Source organism: Homo sapiens, chromosome 8 (assembly GCF_000001405.40).
Source record: "Homo sapiens chromosome 8, GRCh38.p14 Primary Assembly".
Taxonomy (NCBI): Eukaryota; Metazoa; Chordata; class Mammalia; order Primates; family Hominidae; genus Homo; species Homo sapiens.
This window is the reverse complement of record NC_000008.11, coordinates 94,014,509-94,040,925: the sequence shown is the minus strand read 5'-3', so window position 1 is coordinate 94,040,925 and position 26,417 is coordinate 94,014,509. Positions and strand designations below refer to the sequence as shown.

Genomic DNA, 26,417 nt, shown 5'->3' with positions numbered 1-26,417 from the left:
ATCCCTGGGAATGTAGCTGTTTTTCTTCCTAGATTCTGGGCAGTTTGCTTAAGATAAGGAGATGGCAAATAGGCAGAATTTGGAGTTATTAAAGGAAAGATTGGAAAGGCAATTGCACAGTCTATACCTGTACTGGCACAGATGACATCATCCCTGGGGAGGGGACTTCAGGCGTAGGGAGGAGACTGCCTCCAGACAGCGCCTGGTTACTGCCATTATAAAGAGAAATTCAGCCAGGCGCAGTGGCTCACATCACTTTGGGAGGCCAAGGCAGGAGGTTTGCTTGAGACCAGGAGTTTGAGACCAGCCAGGGCAATGTAGCAAGACCCCATCTCTACAAAAACATTAAAAAAATTAGACGGGCATGGTAGTATGCACCTGTTGTCCCCAGTACTGAGGAGGCTGAAGTGGAGGATCACTCGAACCCAGGAGTTTGAGGCTGCAGTGAGCTATGATAATGGCACTGTACTCCAGCCTGGGTGACAGAGGGAGACCCTGTCCTAAATAAATAAATAAATAAATAAATAAATAAACAAACAAACAAGAGAAATCACCCTTCACTTGTTTTCTTTCCTCCTTTGGGAATGTCCCTATATGACTAATTCTTACCCCAAGGCTGCTGTGAGATTGGAGTGGAGCAGAGTGAGAAGCAAGAAATGATAGTGGCTAAGAGCTCAAATTCTGAGTCAAAAACCACCTGCAATCCCAGCTGATCTTCTGCTCCCAGATCTCCATTTTCTCATCTTTATATGGGGTGAGAACAGCATCTCCCTCATATCATGATTATGACAATTCAATCAGATAATGTGACACTTTTGGAAGAAGTTGTCTGTAGTGTGTTTTGCTTCCTTGTCTTGTTGTGTCTCCTTGGCCCTCATCACCTGGTCACTAATGATCTGCACGTGGCAAACCCAGTGGCTGCTCCTCCGTGACAATGATTCTACGTGACCTGTCTGAAATGCTCAACACAGCCGCGGGCCCTCTCCTCTCCTGGCCTCTGCGACAGCACCTTGCCCTCCTCCCCGTTTCTCACTGGCCCCTCCTTGGCCTTTGATGTCTCTTCATGCTCTTTCTCAGGGCTGTGTGCTTCCTTCCCTCCCTTTCATCCTCCCCCAGGGTGATTCTATCCAGTCCCAGGGCTTCAGGTGCCATCTGGAAGCCAACGATGCCCAAATCTGTATCACCAGCCTTGACCTTCTCCAAGAATGTCACACTGAGGTATCCAACTTCCTATTGGACATTGCCACTTAAGTGCCTAATGGTCATTCCATACTTCCTGTGGCCAGAAAAATACCCTGAATTCTTACTCCCCACCCCTCACTCAAAAGAGCCTGCTTCTTGGTCTTGCTTCTAGGAGTTATCTTCAGTTGTTCTTTCCTTTGCAGCCTCCTTCCGCTCACCTCCTGCCACTTCCATCTAATCCATGAGCCTGTCCTGTCAACCACATCTTAAACACTTGCCTTGGATCCACCCATCTCTCTCCATCTCCACTGGTACCACCCCAATCCACGCCCCTTTATCTTGTTCCTGGGCTGGTCACTAACCTCCCTGCTTGCCTTCCTGCCCTGCTGCAATCATGCTCCTTACCCTGGCAGGATCATGTCCTGGCCAGCCCCGACCAGGCCCCCATCCATTCTCTCCCTCATCCATTCCACTGCAGCCATACTGACCCTCTTACTATTCCTCACACTTGCTAAATTCATTCTTGCTTTACAGCTTTTGCTTGACAGGTCTGCTACCCTCTTTGCTCTGACAGGTTGGCTGCTTCTTATCAAGGTCTCAGCTTGTGTCAATTTCTCAGAGAGGCTGTCTCAAACCATCCAAAGTCACCACTGAGTTGTTTGCTATTTCATCATGTTTGCCAGTTCTAATCTACTACATAGCATTTATCAAAATGAGATGGTTTTCTCATCTTTTTAAGTTGCCTGTTTATCACCGCTAGAACATGAACTTCTTCAGAATAGGTGCCAAGGAAACAATGGGGGCTGATAGCCATGTATTTATTCATTTACTGTAGACATATTTATTGAGCATCTACTAGACGCCAGGTACTGAGTGCGCCTCTGAGGATGCAGAGTTAACTGAGCTGGAGCTGCATCCCAAAGGTCCTCACAGCGTGGTAGGAGAGGCAGCCCATGAACAGATGTCTTAATCAGCTTGGGGCGCTGTAGCAAAAATACCATAGACTGGGTGGTTTAAACAACAGAAATTAATTTTCTTTGGGTTCTGGAGGATGGAAATCCAAGGTCAGAGTGCCTGTATTGTAAGGTTCTGGTGAGGGTCCTCTTCCTTGCTTGCAGACAGCTGCCTTCTTGCTGTGTCTTCATAAGACAGAGAGACAGAGTGAGTTCACTAGTGTCCCTTCTTATAAGGGCTAATCCCACAGGACCAAGGCTCCACTCTCAACTTCATCTAAACCTAATGAACTCCCAAAGGCCCTGTCTCCAAAGACCATCACATTGGGAGTTAAGGCTTCACATATGAATATGTGGGTACACAAATCAGCCCATAGTAATAGATTAATAGGTAAGTGGATGATAAGTGGATGGTCTTAACTCTGGGGAGGGAATCAGCAACTCCAGGTGACCTAACAGGGAGGGTGGTACCTGAACAAGAGGTCTTGAAGCATGCATAGGAGCTTACCAGGTAGTCAGAGATGAGATAGGGGAAGGATATTCCTGGTGGATGGATATGTGAAAGGAAATAGAGGTTGGAAATAGCATAATCTTCCTCAAAACGCCAGGTCCCACCCTCACCAAAGCATGGGTGTGAACTTTGTATGCCTCTGTCGTGCCTACTCACCCCCTCTACCATAGCAGCATCCTGCACTTTGGTGGTATATTTTCTGCTACAAGACTAAAGTCACTAGGATTTGGAGCAAGAGGAAATTTTAGTGCACCTTATTTTCTTTACAGATAAGGAAAATTTAACTCAGAGAATCAACAGTGAGCTTCCCGAAGCTGTACTGTTTCCTTATAGCAGAACCAGGCTCAGGCCCCAGACGTCTGACTCTCAGGCAAGTGCTCCTTCCAACATATCATAATGGGTGTTCAGCACATCTCATGTTTATTCCAATATTGCAACTACAGAGAAATGGTGATAGTGGAGACAAGCAATGTTTAATTTTCCCCAGTCCCTGCAATCTCTAAGGCAGTTTTCTTATAAGACATATTTAGCTGAAGTTACCTCTTATTCAAGAGGAACAAATTATTCACTTATCAAAAACATCCTAGTTATCTGTTTGCAATCTGCTTTCTATACTAACTTTCTGGAACAGGTTGAAGGAGCAAGAAAATAAGAGTTGACTGTGCTTTGTAAGCTATGTAAATGCTATTTCATAATAATGATGACTTTGATATTTATATTATGTCATTGGCACCTGTGATGGTCACAGTGTAGAGCAGGCCAGCCTAGCCCACAGCAGTGGGCAGTTGTTGCTGACCTAGAAAAAACTGAAGAGTAGAAGCACAAAATTATCTCTCCCTAAATGCCCTCCATTAATGGATAAGCCAAGAGTGACGGAAATAGAGGAGGGTACAGGGAAGGTGATGGAGGCTTTGGAGGAAGGGACACTTAGAAAGTACTTTTTTTTTAGATGGAGTCTCTCTCTGTCACCCAGGCTGGAGTGCTGTGGTATAATCTCAGCTTGCTGAAACCTCTGCCTCCTGGGTTCAAGCAATTCTCCTGCCTCAGCCACCTGAGTAGCTGGGACTGCAAGTATGCATCACCACGCCCAGCTAATTTTGTATTTTTAGTAGAGATGGGGTTTCACCATGTTGGCCAGGCTGGTCTCGAACTCCTGGCCTCAGGTGATCCACCCGCCTCGGCCTCCCAAACTGCTGGGATTACAGGTGTGAGCCACCACACCCAGCCAGAAAGTACTTACAAATCTCCCCACCACAGACACGAAGCTCAGAAGGGTGATATGTTGCCAGGACCCTTGGTCAAGTGACAGAAACCCAAAGCAAGCTAGTTAAAGAAAAAGGGGAGAACTTATTGGTCTACATAACTGTAAAAATCCAAAAGGATTTACAACTTCAGCCACCCCTGGATCAAGACCCAAGTGAGGTGGTTGGGGTTCCAGCTCTCCTCTCAGGTAGGTGGCTTCCAGGAGACCAGGAGCCACACTTCACCGGATTAGCTACACACCAGCAGAAAACTCCCTGGGATAACCCTGTTTGGCGTGGCTGGGGCCCAGTCCCCAACCCTGAGCTGATCACGTGACAAGTGGGACAGGGATAGTAGTAGGCCCAGAGCTCCACGAAATGGGTCTTCTGCAGGAAAGAGGGGCTCTGCTAACTTAAGAAGAAGGAAAGGATGGTGGGCAGGCTAAAACAAAAGACATCCACCCCCATTATTGAAAGATTGAGCTGCATCTGCTTTGGAGGTTTCCAGCAGAAGTGACTCCACACCGCACCAGCCTCAAGGGCATTCTCAAGTTCTCCTTCCCTGGGGTCACTAGGATTGCACTGAAGGTGCATACTAACCTATTTTTAATATTGGAAAGGAAAATGTGTAATTCAGAAACTCTTAACCCTACTCCCATGCCCTCCCCCAAAACACTCAAAGTTAGAAAGCAAAAGGCACACACAGTTTTAAATTATTTGCCACTTTCGATTGTCCACACCACGGCTGCATTTCTTTAGCTGGGATGATGGGGAGCTGGATGTAATCTCTGTCGAGGGAGAAACACAGACACCCAGTCAAATGCCTTTCCTGTTAATAAGGTGATGGGCTCCAAAAAAGAGGAATTCTATTAAGTGACATGGTCCATGACTCCCAGTGACTCATAGCCCTCCCTGAGTACAAATTGCTTCCTGATGCCAGTGGGAGGTTTCCGTGGGTGATTGAATCAATTGATGTGCGTTACCATGTTATGCCACATCACTTCTTGCTAAGATTTATTTTTTTAAAAAAGTCTCAGTGCAGGCTCCTAAACTTTTTTTTTTTTTTTGAGACAGAGTCTCGCACTGTCACTGGGCTGGAGTGCAGTGGTGCAATCTCGGCTCGCTGCAACCTCCACCTCCTGGGTTCAAGCGATTCTCCTGCCTCAGCCTCCCAAGTAGCTGGGACTACAGGCACCCGCCACCATGCCTGGCTAATTTTTTTGTATTTTTAGTAGAGACGGGATTTCACCGTGTTAGCCAGGATTGTCTCAATCTCCTGAACTCGTGATCTGCCCGCCTCGGTCTCCCAAAGTGCTGGGATTACAGGCGTGAGCCACCGTGCCTGACAGGCTCCTAAACTTTTAGATTGACAACAGGCAACACCTTTAACACAGATATTGTAAGAAAAAGAAAATATGAAGTTTACGAAGGCTGAATGCCATTCTCTTCTCTAAAATGAGACAAAGAGGAAATGGCAGGAAGGACCCACTTCTCCCTGGTATGACAGGCCCACTTGTTCTGTCCAAAGGGCCTCCATCCACACTGCTTCCTCCCAGAGGTGATGGGTGAAGATGCCTTAGACATGTTTGCCATCTGCCAGTGGCTTTCAAGGCTCCCTCTCCTTGGACCCTAGAGTACAAGGTTGCACTCCAGGCTGTCACCAGCAGCTGGAAGCATGCTCACCAAGTCGGGCATTTTCAGATATCTGTGTGTCTGCCCTAGGAAATAAGAGATTGTGGCAAAGATCATTCCTCCACTCCTAGCAGCCTGTGTGGCCAGTGTATTGTCCCACCCAGGGAGAGGCCAGAGACCAACAAAGAGCACAGACTCTTCGAAAGAGGGCACGTGACTCCCTATAGCCAAGGCATTCTGAAAATGTTCATTCCTTTCATCTCGAGCTGTTTCTTATTCACCAGATCACATTACCTTTGCTCTACTTTGCTGACCAAGGAGTCTGAGGCAAAGACCGTGCTGCTGGTGGTTAACAGCACACTGCTCCACAGCAGGATCTTCTGAGAACCAGCTCAAGTGCTGAAACAGCCACGGGAACGACTGAAATTTCAGCAAAACATATAGGCATATGCTGTCCTCAGCAGAGTGGATTTGCATCTACTGTGTGAAGCCCCAGATGTGAATTTCGACTTTTTATTTTGAATTTTTCTAAAGAACAGAAGCAATATGAAAAAAGAGAGTAAAAAGAGACTAATTCCTGGAAGGTTTTTATTCTTCCACTTTGCCACTCTTTTCCCAGCACCATGAGATCAATGACTGATTATGTGGCAGCAAGTTAGATTTGGGGATGAGACTGGAAGGAGAGTCTGCTCAAGGTCGCCAGCCTCCCTTGCATCACATCAGTCCTTCCCTTGCTCCTGCCCTACTCAGCGGAAAACTCGTTCCCCACCTTTCCTAGGAAGAGCCTCTAACGGGCTCTAGACATTCCTTTCCACATCATGAGGACCTTGTCCCATCCATTGTCAACAACAATGGCTACAGCTTATTCATGGTCTGCTATAGGTTTGCCACACTGTTATTACAGGTTTTCTCATCTAAATGCTAATGCTCAAACTATCCCACTGTGACGGGTGTTATTACCCCCATTTAATTGACGCAAAAACAGGCACAGAAAGGAGAGGTACCTCTCTCTAGGTCTATCAACTAGTACATGGCAGTGGGCGTTGTAGGAGGTGGGGTTCTGTGTGACCCCCAGTTCTCTGCTCTGCATTTATTCACATACTCACTGGCATTGACGGCAGGAAAGCCCATCTTTTGATTGCTGGCAGACATGTTTTTCCTAGGTGAATGGGGGATCCCAAAGCCAGGAAAGGTTCATGGTGGTCACATGTGAGATGGTGTCCAAGTGTGATGGAAAATGCCTGGGTCTTTGTGCCCGGGGTTCTACCTCAGAGGGCTAACAGGCCATCTGCACTGACCTTGAAAGCTCCATGTGGGATCTATCCCAACGTCATCCATCTCCCTGCCCAGCCTCTCCCTTGCATGGCAGCCGCACTCACAAGCTCACTTGCATTCCATTCATGGCACTCTGTGATGCTCCGGCCTGACATTCTCACGCATACTCATGTATTTACTTCCTGATTTTCTTTTTTAAATTTTTGAGACAGAGTCTTGCTCTATCGCCCAGGCCGGAGTGCAGTGGTGCAATCTGCAACCCCCACCTCCCAGGTTCAAGTGCTTCTCCTGCCTCAGCCTTCCGAGTAGCTGGGATTACAGGTGTGTACCACCACGCCCAGCTAATTTTGTATTTTTACTAGAGACAGGGTTTCACCATATTGGCCAGGCTGGTCTCGAACTCCTGACCTCAATTGATCTTCCCGCCTTGGCCTCCTATAGTGCTAGGATTACAGGTGTGAGCCACCATGCCCCGCCAACCTTCTGATTTTCATTGCTTAAAACTACAACAAAACAACATTTCACACAGGGTGGAAAACGACAGTATCCAACCAGAGGCAGTCGTGGTGTGATGAAAGAGCACTAGGCTGTGGTCAGACCACTTGGATTCCTATCCTAGCCCCACCACTTACTGGCTGTGCTGTGTGACCTTGGACAGGTCACTAAACTTCTCTAAGCCTCGGTGTCCTTTTCTATAAAGTGTGGCATTAATATGATGATGAAGGTGATATTGGTAACATGTTTAGTACCACGCTCAATAAATGGTGCCTCATCATCATTAGTGTCATTGTTATTTCCCACTTAGTAAAGGAATAGAATTGTTGAAGGTGGGCAGCAGGAAGAAGTGGCCCTTTCCACTTACTGGCCTTGAGAGAAAACATATTAGTTCTGATAAAAACAAATTAGCTGCAACAAGCTACTACAAACTTCTTCCCAATTATTTAAAAAAACATCCCAGGCTGGGAGCAGTGCCTCACGACTGTAATCCCAATAATTTGGGAGGCCAAGGCGGGAGGACTGCTTGAGTCCAGGAGTTCGAGACAAACCTGGGCAATATAAGGAGAGCCTGTCTCTACAAAACATAAACAAAATTAGCTGGGCATGGTGGTGCATGCCTGTGGTCCTAGCTACTCGTGAGTCTGAGGTGGGAGGATCACTTGAACCCAAGAGTTCGAGGCTGCAGTGAGCCACGATGGCACTACTGCACTCCAGCTTGGGTGACAGAGTGAGACCCTGTCTCAAAAAGCAAAAAGGAAAGGAAAGGAGAGAAGAGGGGAGAGGAAGATCCCTGACCATGAGCATCACCACTCCACATTCCTCTGCAAGTGAAACTGTTGGGTCCGTCTTACCTTGTCCCCCTGCTCTGGCCCTTCAGCTTCCTCCTTGCTTTCCCCAGCGCTCTCTGGTGCCAGGAGAGCCTGAGAAGCAGCAGGTGAAAGCCTAGTCTCCCACGCAGCCTCTTCCATTTGCCCCCACCGCCCCTCAATGTTGCTACTTACTAAATTGCTGGCTGGAGAACTCCTCACCTGTGGCAGGCGTTCTGTGGGAAAAACAGGTCAGTTGCTGCCCTGGGGGAGCCCAGCCACAGCAGAAAGGGAAAATGCTGACGGGACAACTTCTACTTTAACTTGCAGGAGGAAAGTCAAGTGCTTCTTGAATTCTTCTGGTGACCCTGAGGTGGGAGGTGAGAAGAGCAGTCCTGGGTGGACTGTGGCCTGGCAGCTACCATCATTGCCCTCTTCAACCACAGGGTCATCAAGGCTACCATTGAGTGGCTGCTTTATCAGTGAAGACAACACAGGGAGAAGATCTCATCAGAGGGGACTTGGCTATTTCAGTGATCAAAACATGCTCCTAAACATGGATAACATCATTAAAAGATGCCACCTTCCTGATTTGGGCCATATCTGCATTCCTTATCACTATGGTTTGAATGTGTCCCCTCCAAAATTCAGGTGTTGCCAATGTGATAGTATTAAGAGGTGATGCCTTTAAGAGGTGATTAGGGCATGAGGCCTACTCCCTCCTTAATGGGATTAAGACCCTTTTAAAAGAGGCTTCTTGCAGCATTTAGGCAGCTTGCCTTCTGCCTTCTATGAGAGTATTGTGTAGCTGAGGAAGCTTGGGTATGTTAGCTAACTTCTGTATAACCTCTCTGTGCCCGAGCTTTCTTATTTATTTATCTATTTTTTAAGACGGGGTCTCACTCTGTTGCCCAGACTGGAGTGCAGTGGTACAATCATGGCTTACTGCAACCTCCACCTCCCTGGCTCAAGTGATCCTCCCACTCAAACTCTTCAGTAGCTGGGACCCCAGGTGTGTGCCACCATGTCTGGCTATTTCTTTATATTTTTAGTAGAGATGGGGTGTCACCATGTTGCCCAGGCTGGTCTCGAACTCCTGAGCTCAAGTGATCCTCCTGCCTCAACCTCCCAAAGTGCTGGCACACCACACCCAGCACATATTTAAATAGGGATTGGCTCGGCAGGTGGCTCATGTCGGTAATCCCAGCACTTTGAGAGGTTGAGGTAGGGAAGGATGACTTGAGGCCAGGAGTTTAAGGCCAGCCTGGGCAACAATGCAAGACCCCATCTCTACAAAAAATAAAAAAATTAGCCAGGTGTAGTGGCTAATTTTTAGTCTGAGCTACTCAGGAGGCTGAAGCAGAAGGATCACTTGAGCTCAGGAGTTCGAGGCTGCAGTGAGCTATGATGACACCACTGCACTCCAGCCTTGGCAAGAGACTGAGACCCCATCTCTAAATAAATTTTTTTTTAAGTGGGAATTATAATAGTGCCTCCCTCAAAGGCCAAATATTTTCTAATATTCATTTTAAAATGTATATTATTAATATATAAAGTGTTTATCCAAACGTCACCTAAAATGATCTTGTAAAATACCAGTTGTCTTCATGCTATGTTTGAGATACACTGATACTACATAAAATAAAGAGAAGGAAGTAAGTGTGCTCAGCACAAGCCCTGCTGCCCCCTGACCCCCGCATCACACACATACCCACTCAATCCACAGAGGAAGGCAGCATTATAATTACGTGACCCGCCAGCATGTTGAGGTTGAGTGGCCTGACACAAGGTGGGGAACAGAGGAGAAACCTGTGCTGTGTCCAAAAGCCCCAGGGGTTTTCCAAGGTGTATGCAGACCTCTGTCTCTCCCAGGCTATCAGGCCCTTTGTGAATGAATTCACAATGACCCTGCCAGAAGTTTAGGCCAAGAATTCCCCTTTGGATAAGATGGATTCTGAGAAATCATTGTATTTCCCTAAACACAAGTCTGTGTTTTTACCCAAAGTCCCATCAAATCTTAAAAGCCCTTGGTCAAGCTTTTAAAGCCTTGCCAATATTATAAAGACGAGACTTATCAGGCTTCTATTAATAAAAACCTAAGCATGAAGAATAAAGGGAAATCTGGACTCTTGGCCACAGGGGAACAATACATTGTAGCTTCCAAATGTATGCATTTTAAAGGCACTAAAGGTATCAAATGTCATATTGCTACAAGTCAGACAGAATTTAACATTTTTTCACCTTCCTACCACTTTTTTCACCTTCCTACCACTTTTTTCACCTTCCTACATGTACATATGTGTAAATTAAGATACATATTTTTGAGAGCTATTGAAAATACTTTTGAGAAGTTTTGAGCTATTTTTGAAAAATGTCTGACGCAAAGTAATGCAGGGACATTTGGATAAAAGAATGACAAGAGCATCCCTGAGAACTGAGAAAGGTGGAGCACCACTCCCCTCACACCTCTGAGCACTCCCACAGGTCCAGCGAGTTCTTTAGTAGAATGTTAGGTTTGGATGATTAAGCAGGGATGGGATCTGAGCTAAATCAGAGACTGAAGGCCAAGGTCTGCACTTTCTAATTCTGTCTCTGCTGGTAACTCCCTGCAGGACGCTGTGTGCTACCTCATAGGAAAATAGAAATAAAGATTTTACTGAGCTAATTACAAAGTGGCTTTAAATAATAAAAATATTTATGATGGAGAGATAAATATATGGCTATACATATGGAGAGATTTTACACACGTGATTTTAGCAGTAAAAGAGACTTTAGTTCGATCATGTTGCTTTTAACAGATGAAGAAACTGGGGAATTGAAATGCCAAGTGATTTGCTTAAGGTCACACAGTAAATTACTGCTGGATTAGGGATCAGGAAATAGGCCTCCTGATGTGATTCCAGGTGCTTTGCGTGCTAGTACATGGGCGGCAATGTAATGGCATAGTGAAGACAGTAGTTGAGTCTGCAGACAGAAAATAAGTAGATGTGGTTAAAGAGTTCTTATAAATTCTTCTTATGAAAAGTAGGGACAGATAATTTTTTTCTTTTCTTTCTTTGATAAGAATAGAATGGAAAGGAAATTGGTATAGTTTTGAAAGGTTAGGTGATAGTAAAATAATAATTGATATTAAATATTATATTAGTAATAATAATAGCAGTTAATAACATGCATTAAATATCATATGCCAGGCACTATGCATGTGAGCCTCACGTGATCCTTATGACATCTCTATGATATTGAGACTATTCTTAGCACCATTTTAGCAAAGAGAAAACAGAGTTTGATGAAAAATTTCCAATTAGATGGCCTCCATATGTGGTTGATTGCATGAGCCAATTCTGCTGCCTTACTTTGGGCATTAACAGATGGAGCCCACCCTAAGAGTAGAAGGCCAGGGGACTTAAAACCTTAAAACCCATGGGAGAGAGATCTGAAGGACTCCTTGTGAATGTTTCTTACTAAGTTAACATATATATAAACTCACTTAATTCTTTCGGCAACCATAAGACCTAATTACTAAGGTTTCATTAGTTCCATTTTATAGATATGGAAGCTGAGCAAAGACAGATCAAGTAATCTGACGGAGGTGGAGCCAGGATTCAATCCTAGTTTCCTTTACTTCGGAGTCCATGCTGTAAACCACCATGCTCAGCTTTCTCCTGATCCTCCATTTTGTCATCTGTAAGACGTGGGTTATAACACAAATAATGTTTGGAAGACGATGATACCTCACGATGCCAGGTAGATGAAGGCACTTTATAGACTATTAGGTACCGAAGGACACTATTTTTGTGAAGATGAGAAGAGAAGCTTTGTTTGAAACCACCGAATTTAAAACTTAAGAGTTTTCCTAGTAATGTTTACTAATTTTTTTTAATTCTGGAAGCTAAAATTCTAGATGCCTCTTTGCCATTTTCCTTCTGCATACATTACTAAAATATGCATGAAACCTCAAGATGCAAATTGAGCTTTCTAATGAAAACCATCACCAGTTAAAACACTTGGTAAGACTGATGAGGGGAGTTAAAAATCCAAATAGCAAGCTGGCTCCCAAAGGGTTGTTCCTGTTGATCTCGGGATTCTGAAAGAAAATAATTAAAGCAAGGCCCTTGTAAGGTTCCCACCAAGATTTATGGACAGAAACTTAAATATCTCAGCTATTCCGCTTCTGTTTAATTGCTCCACTGTCAGTGACCTCCACAATGGAAAATCTGAGTCGCGGGCAGCCGGGGAGGGATGTGAGCGCTCGCAGCAGCCGGGAGATGCAGCAGAGGAAGTGGGAAACCCTCCCGCTGCAGCGGCGCTGCTGCACTCACAGTAATAGCTCAGGAGCTGAAGTAAGAGGTCAAGGTGGGAGGGAAGCAGATCCAACTGCCCATAAATATTCTTAATACATTGTATATCCCTATGCACATTGCTTTGAATTAGTATTTCTTGTCTCCATCTTGACCACAGGTTGTTCCCCACAAACATATTACGTACTCAGACACACATGGTCAACTTTCCAAAACAGAACAGCTTGCTGAAAGAGAACTCTGGGATGTTTGTTGCTTAAAACGGCATTTATTTCTTAGGACAAGTTCTAATCAAAGCCAGCCATGACTTGATGTCTTATAACCACCACAGTGAAACATTTCCAAATCTAGTCTAGAGGGCATTCCAACAATAGAAAACAGAAAGGCTTCCATCCAACCTAGACTGTCACAGCACAAGTAGTATGTTTTAATGCAGATAACTGGCCTTAAGCTTGGCTAGTGTCAAGTCCTTTCTATTTTTTCCCCTCTGTTTTTCTATTTTTTAAAAATTTGTCCTAGATAGTGCTTACATGGCAACAAATATGAATAACCAACTGTACGCTGAAAGACTTTCCACAAGGGGATATGAAAATGAGGGCACAGGGACACCGCCCTTTTGAAATGATTTATCGATGTACTGAAATCTATGTATTTGTGACATCAACGTACTGAAATCTATGCATCTGTGATCACGAGGACATACACACCAGCGCTCACTCACAGCTGAATCCATCCAAGGCTGAGATCTTTATTGTGTGGAGAAGGGAGACAAATGAAACACTTAGGTCAACTCCTCACAGTCTTCTTCCAGAAGTCAACCTCTTTAGCTTTGGCCAAGTCGTATGTATTTATTAGTGGGTGCAAAAGTATTTGCAATTTTTCCATTAATTTTAATGGCAAAAACCGCAATTTAATTGCACCAACCTACTAAGTGGCAGCCCTAATTCCTTTCATGGAGCTGTAGTTCAAAAAGGTTATTGACCTTCTTAGTGAGTCAGTTGGCAGAGAGTCTTGGGGGTGCAAACAAGCACATTGGTAAAAGGAGCACACATAAAAAATGGATGGTGAGCAGTTACACTCCTAGATATATACCCAAAAGAACTGAAAGCCGGGACTCAAACACAAACTTACACACAAATGTTCATAGCAGCACTGTTCACAATAGCCAAAAGGTAGAAACAACTCAAGTTTCTGTCAACTAATGAATAGGTAAACAAAATGTGGTATGTCTATACAATGGAATATTACTCAGCCTTAAAAAGGAATGACATTGGGTTGGGCGTGGTGGCTCATGCCTGTAATCCCAGCACTTTGGGAGGCTGAGGTGGGTGGATCACCTGAGGTCAGGAATTCAAGACCAGCCTGGCCAACATGGTGAAATCCTGTCTCCACTAAAAATACAAAAAATTAGCCAGGTGTGGTCGTGGGTGCCTGTAATCCCAGCTACTCAGGACGCTGTGGCAGGAGAATCACTTGAACCCAGGAGGCGGAGGTTGCAGTGAGCCGAGATTGCGCCATTGCACTCTAGCCTGGGCAACGGAGCAAAACTCCATCTCAAAAAAAAAAAGGAATGACATTCTGATATGTGCCACAACATGGATGAATCTTGAAAACATTATGCTTTGTGAACAAAGCCAGACACATGTTGTATGATTCTATTTATATGAAACACCCAGAATTGGTAAATCCATAGAGACAGAAAGCAGATTAGAGGTTACCAGAGACTGGGGAAGGGGTAGGGGAATGGGGAATGACTGCTGAGTGGATACAAGATTTCCTTGCAGGGTAAGGAACATGTTTTGGAATTAGATAGAGGTGGTAGTTACACAATAAAGCAAATGGACTAAATGCCACTGAATTACACACTTTAATTAATTTTATGTTATATTAATTTTACCTCAATAAAAAGGGAAGAAGCAAATAGCCAGGGAAGGAGGTCCAGACCCTAACAGAGAGGAGGAAACTTGGCTGATTACTCTCTGTCCTCTGTCTCTAGCCCCAGGGCCTTCTTTGCTTCCTCTCACCAAAGATTCTGCTTATTTGGGTTGCTGTGGGTATGGAGCGCTGCCTGGAAGTTGAGAAATCTCCATGCGACCCACTCATTCAGCCTAGCAGTTACCTTCTAGCCCCTGGTCTACATGCCACCTAGGGCCAGCATCCAACGACAGCTTGTTCTCTGTGTCCTGGATTTCTTCACAATCTTTGCCTTGAACCATTCCACGTCAGGCTACCTTGCACCCCAGTCCCCGCTGTGACAGTGACCTCAGAGCTTTGCCTCATGGCCTCTTACCTCAACCTACACCCCAGCCTTGCACTCACCCTTCACACCTGATCATTGAGTCGGCTCCCGGGCTCCTCAGCTCCTGCCCATCTCAGGTAGGATCATTACCCATTAGATGGTAGCTGGAGACCCCTAAGATAACTGCTTTTACCTGAGAGCCACATGTCCAGATCCACTCATCCAGTTTGCCTCATTCAACAACTTCCAAGGGACCAGTGATTTAAAGGGCATGGTAGGATTTAATGCATTCTTCTTGGAGCCAGAGGATTTTGACCTGTATATAGGTGGGTTTTCTACAACAAGAAAGCATTTTTAGATTCAAGTAATGAAATTAGGTTGCTGTCTTAGCCTGAGTTCTTCGGGAAGCAGAGCCTGAGACAAATGCCTACATGTAGTGGTTTATTTGGGAAATGGACCCAGGGAGGGGTGAGGAAGAGCGAAGAGGAACTAGGAGCTGGGCAAGAGGGAAAGTCAATGCCAGGATGCATTCTCAAGCTGGCCCCTGCTACAGGGGGAGCGGTGCCTGATCTTATCAGAACTTTCTGAGGAGCCTCATACAATGAGTCTCAGATCTTCCAGACCCCATTACTAAAGAGAGAAGCATTTGTCCATTGAGTCCTGTGCCCTTTTGATCAAGAGTGTCCCCATAGTCCCCATTTCTGGGCTGCACATGCAAAAGTGCCCAGCAGGCTCCTGTGGGCATCTCATGCCCTGATGTCAGAGGAGCCCCAGACAGGAAAAGAGAGGTGCTCTTGCAGCTGCAATCTACATCAAACCCTGTCTGGAATCTGTTTCAGCAGCAGCAGTGGGAGCAAGAAGTGAGGTCAGGGGGCCCTGTGTCACTGCATACAAGGTGAGCTTAAGGAAATGAACATGTAAAAGGAAAGGAAATGAGATTGTTGAGCTTAAGGAAATGAACATGTAAAATGCTCACCACAACTTCTGTGAATGGCTTACATATGCCGGCAACTGTTTCTGCCATTCCTCTTTACCCACTGACCAGTAAACCATCACCAAATGAGAGGTGCCTTAAACCTCCATTCAGTCCTCAATTATTGATTGTGCTGGGCAGTATTCTAGGAGCCGGAGCACATAGCAGTGAATAAGATCACAATGTCCTTGCTCCTAAGAGCTCATATTCCAGTAGATAGAAACAGACAATATAAAATAGGAAACAGGAAAATATCAGATGGGGGAAGTGCAGGAAACTAAAATAGGGTGATGGGATGGGGACTGAATGGGAACAGCTTATCCTGTTACCTTGAAAGGTTAGACAGGTGGGTGTTTGGCTTCTGGTTCCTGTCTCCAGTAGTTCTGTGACTCAGTCACATTTTCTTTAAAATCCATTTCAATTGCTTAGTCAGACATAATTGTACAATTTTAAGGTCTCACATTTTAAAAACCATATCATGATTCATATAATCATATGACACATACTAGTGATTAATGGAGTTTCTTAGGCAAAATAGGATTTAGTTATTGAGTCATTCTCAATTCATTGCTCCCCCTTGTATCTCTGTCTTTTGCTCTCTTTCTTACACACACACTCATATATGCAATTAAGGTTAATTCTACTTCCTGCTATTTCTCAAATCCACTCTCCCCTCAAGAAGGTCCGCTCCATCCCCACAGCATGTGTGGTCCAGGCCTCTTGTTCAGACTGTCAGCAGCTTCCTGATGAACTGTCCAAGTTCTGCTTTGCTCCAAAGCCTCATCTTCCGGTGTTTAGAAAAATCTTCTTCTTCATAATTTTCACCCACTCATCCTAATTCTGCCCTCTAGAGATTCAACTAATAAATCTAGACCTGCTACCACACAGCTACCCTCCCAGTGATTGAACAGACTCTTCTTGGTCTCCCCTCCATCCTGCACTTTCCCAGTTCCTTGCCTTTTTCATGTATCATGGTCTCCAGACCCTTCTTCATCCTGGTAACCTTGATCTGAACATAGTTAGATTTATTGTTTTAAAAACTAAACACAGGGCCTGGCACAGTGGCTTATGCCTGAAATCCCAGCACTTTGAGAGGCCCAGACGGGTGGGTGGCTTGAGCTCAAGAGTTCAAGACCAGCCTGGGCAATGTGGTAAAACCCCATCTCTACAAAAAATACAAAAAAGAAAAAAATGTAGCTAGGCATGGTGGCATGCACCTGTAGTCCCAGCTATTAAGGAGGCTGAGGTGAGAGGATTACTGAAGCCCAGGAGGCGGAGGTTTCAGTGAGCTGAGATCGTGTCACTGCACTCCAGCCTGGGCGACAGAGCAAGACTCTGTCTCAGAAAAAACGAACAAATAAAACAAAACAAAAACCCTAAACACAGTATATCAAGTGTGATCTGAACAAAGCACAGTGATGCTATTTCTTTCTTTGAATTAACTTTTTAAAAATACATTTTAAGGACAGGCACGGCAGCTCATGCCTGTAATCCCAGTACTTTGGGAGGTTGAGGCAGGTGGCTCACGAGGTCAGGAGTTCAAGACCAGCCTACCAACATAGTGAAATCTTGTCTCTACTAAAAACACAAAAATTAGCAGGGCATGGTGGCATGCGCCTGTAGTCCCAGCTACTCAGGAGGCTGAGGCAGGAGAATCACTTGAACCCAGGAGGCAGAGGTTGTGGTGAGCCAAGATCATACCAGTGCACTCCAGCCTGGGCAACAGAGCGAGATTCTGTCTCGAAAAAAAAAAATTAAGAGTGCAATTCTATGAGTTTTTAAAATAAATACACCTGTGAATATTTCCATCACCCCAGAAAGTTTCCTCATGCCCTTTCCAGTCTGAACCCACACCAGCAGCAATCATTCTTCTGATTTCTCTTTCCATAGTTTAGTCTTGCTTATTCCAGAATTTCATCTAGGTAGAGTCATAAAGCATACAGTCTTTTGTGACTGGCTTCTTTCACTCAATATGTTTCTAAGATTCATCTATGTTGTTGCATGTATCAGTAGGCTGTTTCTATGGCTGAATGAGATTCCATTGTATGTATACCACAATTTGTTTTAAGTTTGGGGCTATTGTGAATAAAGCTACTATAGATAAATTGTTTTATAAACTTTTGTTATCATTAATCTTTTTAAAATAATTTTTGATTTTTAATTCTTATGGGTACCTATTAATAGTAGATGTGTGTATATATATATATATATATATATATATATATATATATATATATATATATTTATGGGGTACATGAGATGTTTTATTTATGCAGGCATGCAATGCATGATAGTCACAGCATGGAAAATGGGATATCCATCCCCTCAAGCATGTATCTTTTGTGTTAGAAACAATCCAATTATACTCCTTTAGATATTTTAAAATGTACAATTGAATTACTATTGACTATAGGCTCCCTGTTGTGCTATCAAATACTATGCCTTATTCATTCATTCTAACTATTTTTTTTTGTACCAATTAACCATCCCACCTTCCCCAGCTCCAACTACACCCACCACCCCTCCCAGCCTCTGGTAACCATCCTTCTACTTTCTATTGTTAATCTTGAGTAAATATTTTGAAGTGGAATTTCTGTATCATAACAGAAAAAAATGTTTATCTAACATTACAAGAAATTGAAAAATAATTTTCCAAAATGGCTGTGCCAGTAACGTAGGAGAGTTCCAGTTGCCCTGCATCTTTGCCAAACTTTAGTATTATCGAATCCTAGCTATTTTCTTAATCTTAGCCATTTTCATGGGCACGAAGTGGTGTTTCATTGTAGTTTTAATTTGTCTTGTCTTTGTTCAGTGAAGCTGAGTGTCTCTCATTTGCTTATTGGCCTTTTATATATCTTCTATCGTAAAATGCCTGTTAAGTCTTTTGCCATTTATTTCATTGGGTTGCTTGCCCTTTTTATTTTATTTTTATTTTTTATTTTTTGAGACAGAGTCTTGCTCTGTCACCCAAGCTGGACTGCAGTGGCATGATCTTGGCTCACTGCAACCTCCACCTCCCAGGTTCCAGCGATTCTCCTGCCTCAGCCTCCTGAGTAGCTGGGATTACAGGCACGCACCACCTCACCTGGCTAACCTTGTATTTTTAGTAGAGACGGGGTTTCACCACGTTGGCCAGGCTGGTCTCGAACTCCTGACCTCATGATCCACCCACCTCAGCCTCCCAAAGTGCTGGGATTACAGGTGTGAGCCACTGCGCCCGGCCTGCTTGTCTTTTTATTATTGAATTATAGGAGTTCTCTGTATTACCTAGATAAAAGTGTTTTTTAATCAGATATATATATTGTGAAGATCTCATTCAGGTGTGGTTTGCCTTTTATTTTCTTAATAATGTCTTTTGATGAGCACAAATGGTTGATCTTGATTAAGTCCAATGTTTTTCTTTTATGCTTAGTGCTTTTTTTTGGCCCTAAGATTTGTCTAAGCAATCTTTGCCTAAAATATAGTCACAAAAGTTTTTCTAGTCCTAAGTTTTCTTCTAGAAGCTTATGTTTGTAACTTTTGTATTCAAGGCTATGACAGATCTTAGTTTTTGTGTGTGGCGTAAAATAAAGGTTGAGATTTGTTGAAGTTTTTTCCCCATTAGTTATTTTAGCACCCTTTGTTTAAAAGCCTTTCTTTTCCCCATTAACTTACCTTGCTTGTTAATATTTTTCTATTTCCTACTACATGGGGAGCTTCTCCAGACACATGTCCCTCACCATCACCATTTAAAAATGTTTCACAGCCTGGGCACGGTGGCTCATGCCTATAATCCCAGCACTTTGGGAGGCCGAGGAGAGCAGATTATCTGAGGTCAGGAGTTTGAGGCCAGCCTAGTGAAACCCCGTCTCTACTAAAAATACAAAAATTAGCTGGATGTGGTGGTGGGCACCTGTAATCCCAGCCACTCAGGAGGCTGAGGCAGGAGTATCACTTGAACCTGGGAAGTGGAGGTTGCAGTGAGCTGAGATTACCCCACTGCACTCCAGACAGGGCAACAGAGTGAGATTCTGTCTCAAAAAAAAAAAAGTTTCATACACATTCAGTTTATATGCCCTTTAGCCTTTACTGACTGAATGCTCTGTGCTGAGCATTGACTAAGAGGATTAGTGGGTACCTAGAACTCTCGTCCTGGAAGAGTTTCCATCTGTTAGTGGAAGCCAACATATAAGCTAATGATTTCTATATATGTAATGATTTCACATGATGGGACAGGACTTTAAAGGGGTTTGTGGAACTACAGGAGAAGGCATGTGACAAGGAGGCAGCGTGTCATAGTGACTAGAGACCATTGGCTTTGGGCTTAGGCAGACCTAGTTTAAAATCCAGACTTCAACATAACCTAGCTGCTAAGGCAGACCTTGAGCAAGCTACTCATGCTTTCAGAGGCTCTATTTCCTCAGGGTTGTTAAAGTCTTGCATGACACAAAGTATGTAATTATTACATTTGCCTGGAACTCAGTTAAGTGCTCAATAAATGGTTGCTATTTTTATCCCATGGGACTCAGGGAGGACACCCTGAAGGAGGTGGCTCTTCAGCTGAGCCTTGAAGAATGTTGAAAGTTGGCTAGATGAAGAAATGAAGGAAGAGCATTTCAGGCCGGAGTACTGGAAAGAACATAGCTACAGCAGCATCAATCAGCACAGTACAGATGGGAATATTGCTAGATCTTAAAGTGTAAAGAGGTGAATGGCCAAAGAGATGAGGTGGCGCCAGGTCATAGAGAGCTTTATAAGCCATGCTAAGGTGCTTGAGCAGTATTTTCATTCAATCCACCTGTGAGCAATTAGGGGCAGTGTCGGCTCCCTCACCTTTTCTCTAGGATCTAAGTCAGCTGCAGTCAACAATAGACTCACCTGTAGGCTCATATATGAAGCTCACCCAGTCGACAGATGAACCTGGGATGATACACTCCATTGCAAAGCCTTGGGCACCCTGTAATGTAGGATGAGAGCCATGAGTCTCCCAGGAGTCCCAAATGAAGCCTGACACCCACTCCTAATTCAACAGCATAGCCCCTCTTAAGAGCAGAGCCCACCTTACGCTTTGTGCTGTAGTTGTATTTAGATGGCTCTTCCCAGATGGAGAGCCTGCCCCCTCCCCATCTGTCCTCTTATTGAAGAAATCCTACCAGATAGGGACAGATGTCCCTCAACTATGCCGCCTTTCAGCTGCTTGTTAGCATTTTAAGCATTTGTTACATATTAGGCCTCTTGCTAAATGCTTGATGTCTGTTATCTCAATTACTTTAAGCCTCCCAGCAACTTCACAAATAGATGTTATTGTTTCAATTCACAGATGAGAAAAATGACCGTCAAAAATATTAAATAACTTGTCTAGAGTTGCATAGACAATAAATGGCAGGTCTAAATTTGAGTCATCATCTTAACACCTACTATTGCCTCCTGTTTCCTAAGTAGCCACTGAGGAAGGGCTCGCCCTGCATCCCTGCTCAACTGGCCTGATGGGACCTCTCAGTCCCAGTCACTCTGCACTCCTCAGGCACACTTTAGGCTGCCCTCCTGGGACTGGCTTCTCTGCTGAGTCACTTAGCAGGTGCTGGGCGTTGGCAGCAACCCTGGTTCATCTTACTCTGTGTTGACTCCATGGCACTGCTATCCTAGCCTACCTTCAGCCTGAACTGAATGTTTTATTAGCCCCATTTCACAAACTAAATAACCAGGGTTCAGAGAGGGTAAGAATATATAACAGCAAATCACAGCATCAAGACTCAAATCTAGATCCCCTGTCTCTGAGACCAGCAACATCTCATATACTATATTGCTTTTCTGGATAGTTAAGTTGCCTGTCGAGGAGGCATTCCAACAGAAGTGGGAGAACAATCTGATAGAAAAGTTGTACGAGGCCCTCCAAACTCTGAGTTTATAATTCTGCCTAGTAACTAAGAATATAAGACCAAACTATAGAAAAGAGAGAAAACAATGTAGAAAGAACCATATTACTAACAACATAACTCATAGCTTGTCTACTTAAAAAAAATATTTTTTAACGTCTGGCCTATATTTGTTTCTAAGTTTGTCCACTTTTCATTATTGTCTTATCAAGAAAAGAAAGAACAGTAGAGGGATGAGTAGACAAGGCATGGACTCAGCATTAAATAACCCAAACAAAGATAAATGTGAAGAAAACATGGAACCCTGATTCCTATTTGCAAAGGCAAGGATTGTGCAACCAAGTCAACATCTGTTCCCCTTATATGATCAGGATGAAAGCCCATCTCCAAAATGACATCATTTTGGAAAAGAAGTCGTATAACCATGTGAGGCATTACAGAATCACAAAACATGGGTTTGCCAGGAGTGAACCAGAGATAGAACCTGACATTTGCTGTTTTGCCCAATTTGCTGAGTTTATAAAGCAAAAATCAAAATCAAGTCTTTCTTCCACATCTTGTCATCTGTTTCTCTGAGTGTGTCAGCAGAGTTCCAGAGTTCCAGGGCATCATTCCGTTTTGACAGCTTTTCAGCTGTGCCCCATGCATAGGAAAGCTAGAGTGGTGTGCAGTGGTGTTCAGTGTAGTGAGGTATTTAGAAGCTGAAAGTGCTGCTAGGCTTCAGGGCCTCCTGGAATGATGTGTATAACTCAGCAGCTCTTAATGGGGTGTGTCATAGATTTCATCTGCTCCAGCCTTTGACTGGGATCACAGGGGCTCTTATGAGTTTAACCATGAGTCATGAGCATGAGACAGTTAAACGGCCAGAGACCTTCATCCAAATTGATAAATTCTATAAAACTGTCTCCACCATAGTTGCAGAAGGTTGTTTTGTGGAAGGCATTCATGGGCATTTTGCAAAAGTCATCAGCAGTGACATGGTAGAAGAGACATATCCCCAGTACTTCCTGCATTACGCATGTTTATATAATAACAAAAACAAGTGGAAATAACCAGAAACATAGAAACACAGTTGATGAAAGAGAAACAATTAGCCTTTATTTATTTACTCCCCCAATCATTTCTTGATCACTTGCTACGTGCCAAGTACTTCTACTTGCTGAAGATACAGAAATGATACACATACAGAAATGATAAACACATTCCCTTCCTTCAAGGGAGCTCATATTTAATGGGAGAAATAGACATAACTGCAAATACTTGGAATCCTGTTGTGATTATGCAGAAAGCACTTTGGGAGTGGAGAGGAAGAATGGATTCGCTGGAGACTGAGGGTGGGTATCACAAATGAGGCTCCATTTGAACTGGGTCTTAAAGGGAATATAGGAGGTTGTCAGACAGAAAGGTTAGGGTGGGAATCCAGGTAGAGAAATTCCACGTGCAAAGACTGAGAAGAATGGAGAGTTTGGAAAATGGCAAATCATTTAACGCACTTCAGTACCTGAGTGTTGAACCACTGCAGTGAGAACAACAAAAAACCCTTTGCAAATCATATACATATATTCTAATGCTAAAGCTATCAGTCCAAACTTTATCCAGGTAGAGCAGCACGAATCATGGAAATGGAGACAGACTATAGCATGACACACGACTCTAGTAACTCTGGACTAAGGGTTTCTCTTAAATCTTAGTGGGAAATGACTGGGTGTCAATATTAGAATCACACTATATACCATCCTACACCCCATGACCTACCATGTGTAAATAGCTAAACGGTTATGCTGCATATATTAATTCCAAAGTGCAGGTTCAGTTGTTCTCAGCAAATCCTTTTCTTATGGCTATAATGGCCTGAAGTAAACAATGCCTTTAAAATAGTGGTAAGGACAGGTACAAGAAATGAGTGGAGCCTACTGATATTTGCCCAGTGGGTAGAGCAGAGGGGTCTTTATAGAACGGTGTCTGCCAAAGATCTGGCACATAGTAAGTACTCAATAAATGGTAGCTCAATAGTGACAAAGGGTCATAAAAAATAACAAGTGGAAACTCAAAGAGTAGCCCAGAGAGGCAGTTGGTTTGAGCTTGTTTTGAGTAACCAAAAGTCAGTTAAGAACCACTGAAAATACAGGTCTGAACATGCACATTAGAGGCCAAATTTATACTATCTGTTGGGGGGCAGACCCCTCAGCTGAATAAAAATTAGCACAGGGACATCGAAAACCCTGGGGCATTAGTAGATATTGATATAAAACTGCCTTGTGGAGACAATTTACCTCTGCCAGATCCCTAGAACCTCCTCAGGAGGAAAGAACTTTCTAACGATGAGCTCATAATAAAAAATTGCAAACCATATGAAGAGACAAACTATCATAAAAGAGAATTAGGAGGCATAAGACCTGGAAATAACAGAATGGCCTGAAAATAACAAAGGATTCAAAGACAGTGCAGACGAATACTCCTATAACTTCTACCCCCATAAAACATTTAATTGAAAACTTAACGAAAAATAAGGTGGCTCCACCTCCAAATTCTTAATGGCTTCTTTAATGCTTAAATCTTGGTTTTTGAACTGACTCACCTGTCAAATTGAAATATAATTTGAGGCTTGGTGCAGTGGCTCATGCCTGCAATCCCAGCACTTTGGGAGGCCAAGGCAGGTGGATCATCTGAGCTCAGGAGTTTGAGACCAGTCTGGGCAGCATGGCAAAACCCCATCTCTACCAAAAATACAAAAAGTAAGCCAGGTGTGGTGGCACGCGCCTATGGCCCCAACTACATGGGAGGCTGAGGTGGGAGGATTGCTTGAGCCTGGGAGATGGAGGTTGCAGTGAGCCAAGAACATGGCACGGCACTGCACTCCAGCCTGAGCGAGAGAACGAGAGCCCGTCTCAAAAAAAGAACTATAATTTGATACCAATCTCGTTAAAATCTACCCAACCTAGTCAAAACTAGTCCTTTAAAAGTTATCTTGGAAAAGGCAAAGAGGTGGAAAATGCCAAAGTAGTTGAGTTAAAACAGACATCCCATTTTACTCTGTTCATTAAACCAGCTCTGAAATTTTACAAACAATTTCATTTATTCATATTTCAACTGGTGCTTTCATTTTGTTTAGGAGTAGACTTCATATCCATTTACTTTGTTAGCAAGATATGTCAAAACTCCAACAAAAACTAAAAAAAAAAAAATTTCTTGGTCTCTCACTGTTTCATTAGAACAACACCCCAAAAGGGGTTTATATAGTTTATTTTTGCCTATAGAATGTTGAACTCTTTCTAGAAATGACTGCCAAACTCTAGCAGATTGAAGGATCAGACAATGATGCTGAAGCAGGAAACCCAAATTTCTGTATGTCCATCTGGAACTCTTTTAGGATAGTAGTTCCTGAACTTGAGGGTTTAGGGATAAATAAAACTAAAAATATATTGAAAGAGTTATAGATAGTTGCCATCTTCTTATTTGCTAGATAAGGAGATTGAAAATAGATATCTACCGTTAACATAATCTCATTTTTAAAAGAACATATTGAAATCAAAATACTAATAAAGAACATAATCTCAGAAAAAAAGGATTGTCCTCAATTTTCTGTATAAGTATCTTTATGAAAAAATACATTACAGCACCCCGGTTTTCCCCATTTTGCCATTAACCAGTAAAGTACTGGTGATGGTTTCAGATTTAGTGCTCTCCAGCTTGGGGATGTAGGGCATGTGTCCTCTTAACTCTAATTTGGAAGCAGGGGCTGCAGAACTCTAAAATCCACACTCGTTTAGATACACATTCAGCCTTAACATGGGCAGACTCTACACCCCATGACCTACCGTTATAACTAGGTTGACCATGAAACTATTGGAATTTCGAGGGTTCCTTGTGGTTTTCATAGCGCTTACATATGTATTCTCTCATTCAATCTAAAAATCAGAAACTAGAACAAAACCCCTTCTTCAGGGAGAAGGTGTTATATCGATTCTTATCTTGTAGATGAAGAAACTAAAATTCAGAGCAGTCATTCATTTATTTGGCCATATATTCAACAAACATTTATGCAATGTCTTCAGGCCCTGCAGCACTGTGCTAACTCCACTGATGTCAAGATGAATAAAAAGCTGTCCATATTCTTGACTTACTCAAGATTACATGCATAGTTAGTGGCAGAGCTGGGACTGGAGCCCAGGTATTTTGATTGCAAATATTGTGCTTCTCTACCAAGCCTGAGCTGCTCAGGAGAGCTCTCCCTTCACTGTGAGCATTACTGTCCACCACAGACAGCCCTCCTGATCCCCAGCCTTGGACAGATTGAACTCCACATTTGTTCAACATGCATTTAGGGTGGCTAAGCCCTGGAATAGCACAGAGGGTGTGGATGGAAAAAGGGGAAGAAGGTCACTAGAGGCAGTATCCCAGCCAGCAAAACAAAAGCCCTGTAGCAAACTGGGAAGTTCAAAGATGAGGTGTTATTATTTGAATATGAATATGCTACAGGCCCTTAACCCCAACATGCCAAGCAGCTTATCAAAATACTCATTCCAAACATATGATGCTCTCCTCTGGAGAGAAGATCTGATAAGTAACATTTTCTCTAACATCTTATATTCTAGTAATACCTAAAATTAGCATCCTGGATGGGCGTGGTGGCTCACGCCTGTAATCCCAGCACTCTGGGAGACTGAAGTGGGAGGCTTGCTTGAGGCCAGGAGTTCAAGACCAACCTGGGTAATAAAGCAAGACCCTGTCTCTACAAAAAATTTTTAAAATATTAGCCAGGCACGATGGGCATACCTGTAGTTTCAGCTACTGGGGAGGCTGAGGTGGGAGGATCACTTGAGCCCAGGAGTTCGAGGCTACAGTGAGACATGATTGCACCACTGCACGCCTCTGGGTGACAGAGCAAGACTCCGTCTCAAAAAAAGAAAAAAAAAAAAGAGAGAGAAAAGAATAAGTTTAGCTTCCTGGTTGC

General features: G+C 43.5%; 1 long non-coding RNA gene across 1 annotated transcript, besides 3 other annotated features; it reads right to left on the bottom strand.

Annotated features, from left to right (window-relative positions):
- Positions 1-1,986: 1,986 nt before the first annotated feature.
- Positions 1,987-24,096, bottom strand: LOC124901979 (uncharacterized). The gene is made up of 2 exons (XR_007061011.1): positions 20,466-24,096; positions 1,987-2,321 (listed from the first exon to the last, which is right to left on the bottom strand). It is a non-coding gene; the product is annotated as an uncharacterized LOC124901979 (long non-coding RNA).
- Positions 9,763-9,892: an enhancer, noted in NCBI's record as "active region_27625". NCBI's record gives its function as "activates an Ori minimal core promoter by ATAC-STARR-seq in GM12878 lymphoblastoid cells {active_cell/tissue: GM12878}" and the evidence as "EXISTENCE:reporter gene assay evidence [ECO:0000049][PMID:35858748]".
- Positions 9,903-10,032: an enhancer, noted in NCBI's record as "active region_27624". NCBI's record gives its function as "activates an Ori minimal core promoter by ATAC-STARR-seq in GM12878 lymphoblastoid cells {active_cell/tissue: GM12878}" and the evidence as "EXISTENCE:reporter gene assay evidence [ECO:0000049][PMID:35858748]".
- Positions 15,372-16,571: an enhancer, noted in NCBI's record as "P300/CBP strongly-dependent group 1 enhancer chr8:95036583-95037782 (GRCh37/hg19 assembly coordinates)". NCBI's record gives its function as "activates an origin of replication core promoter dependent on BRD2, BRD4, P300/CBP, MED14 and CDK7 cofactors, with strong dependence on P300/CBP, by STARR-seq in HCT116 cells {active_cell/tissue: HCT116}" and the evidence as "EXISTENCE:reporter gene assay evidence [ECO:0000049][PMID:35650434]".
- Positions 24,097-26,417: the final 2,321 nt, after the last annotated feature.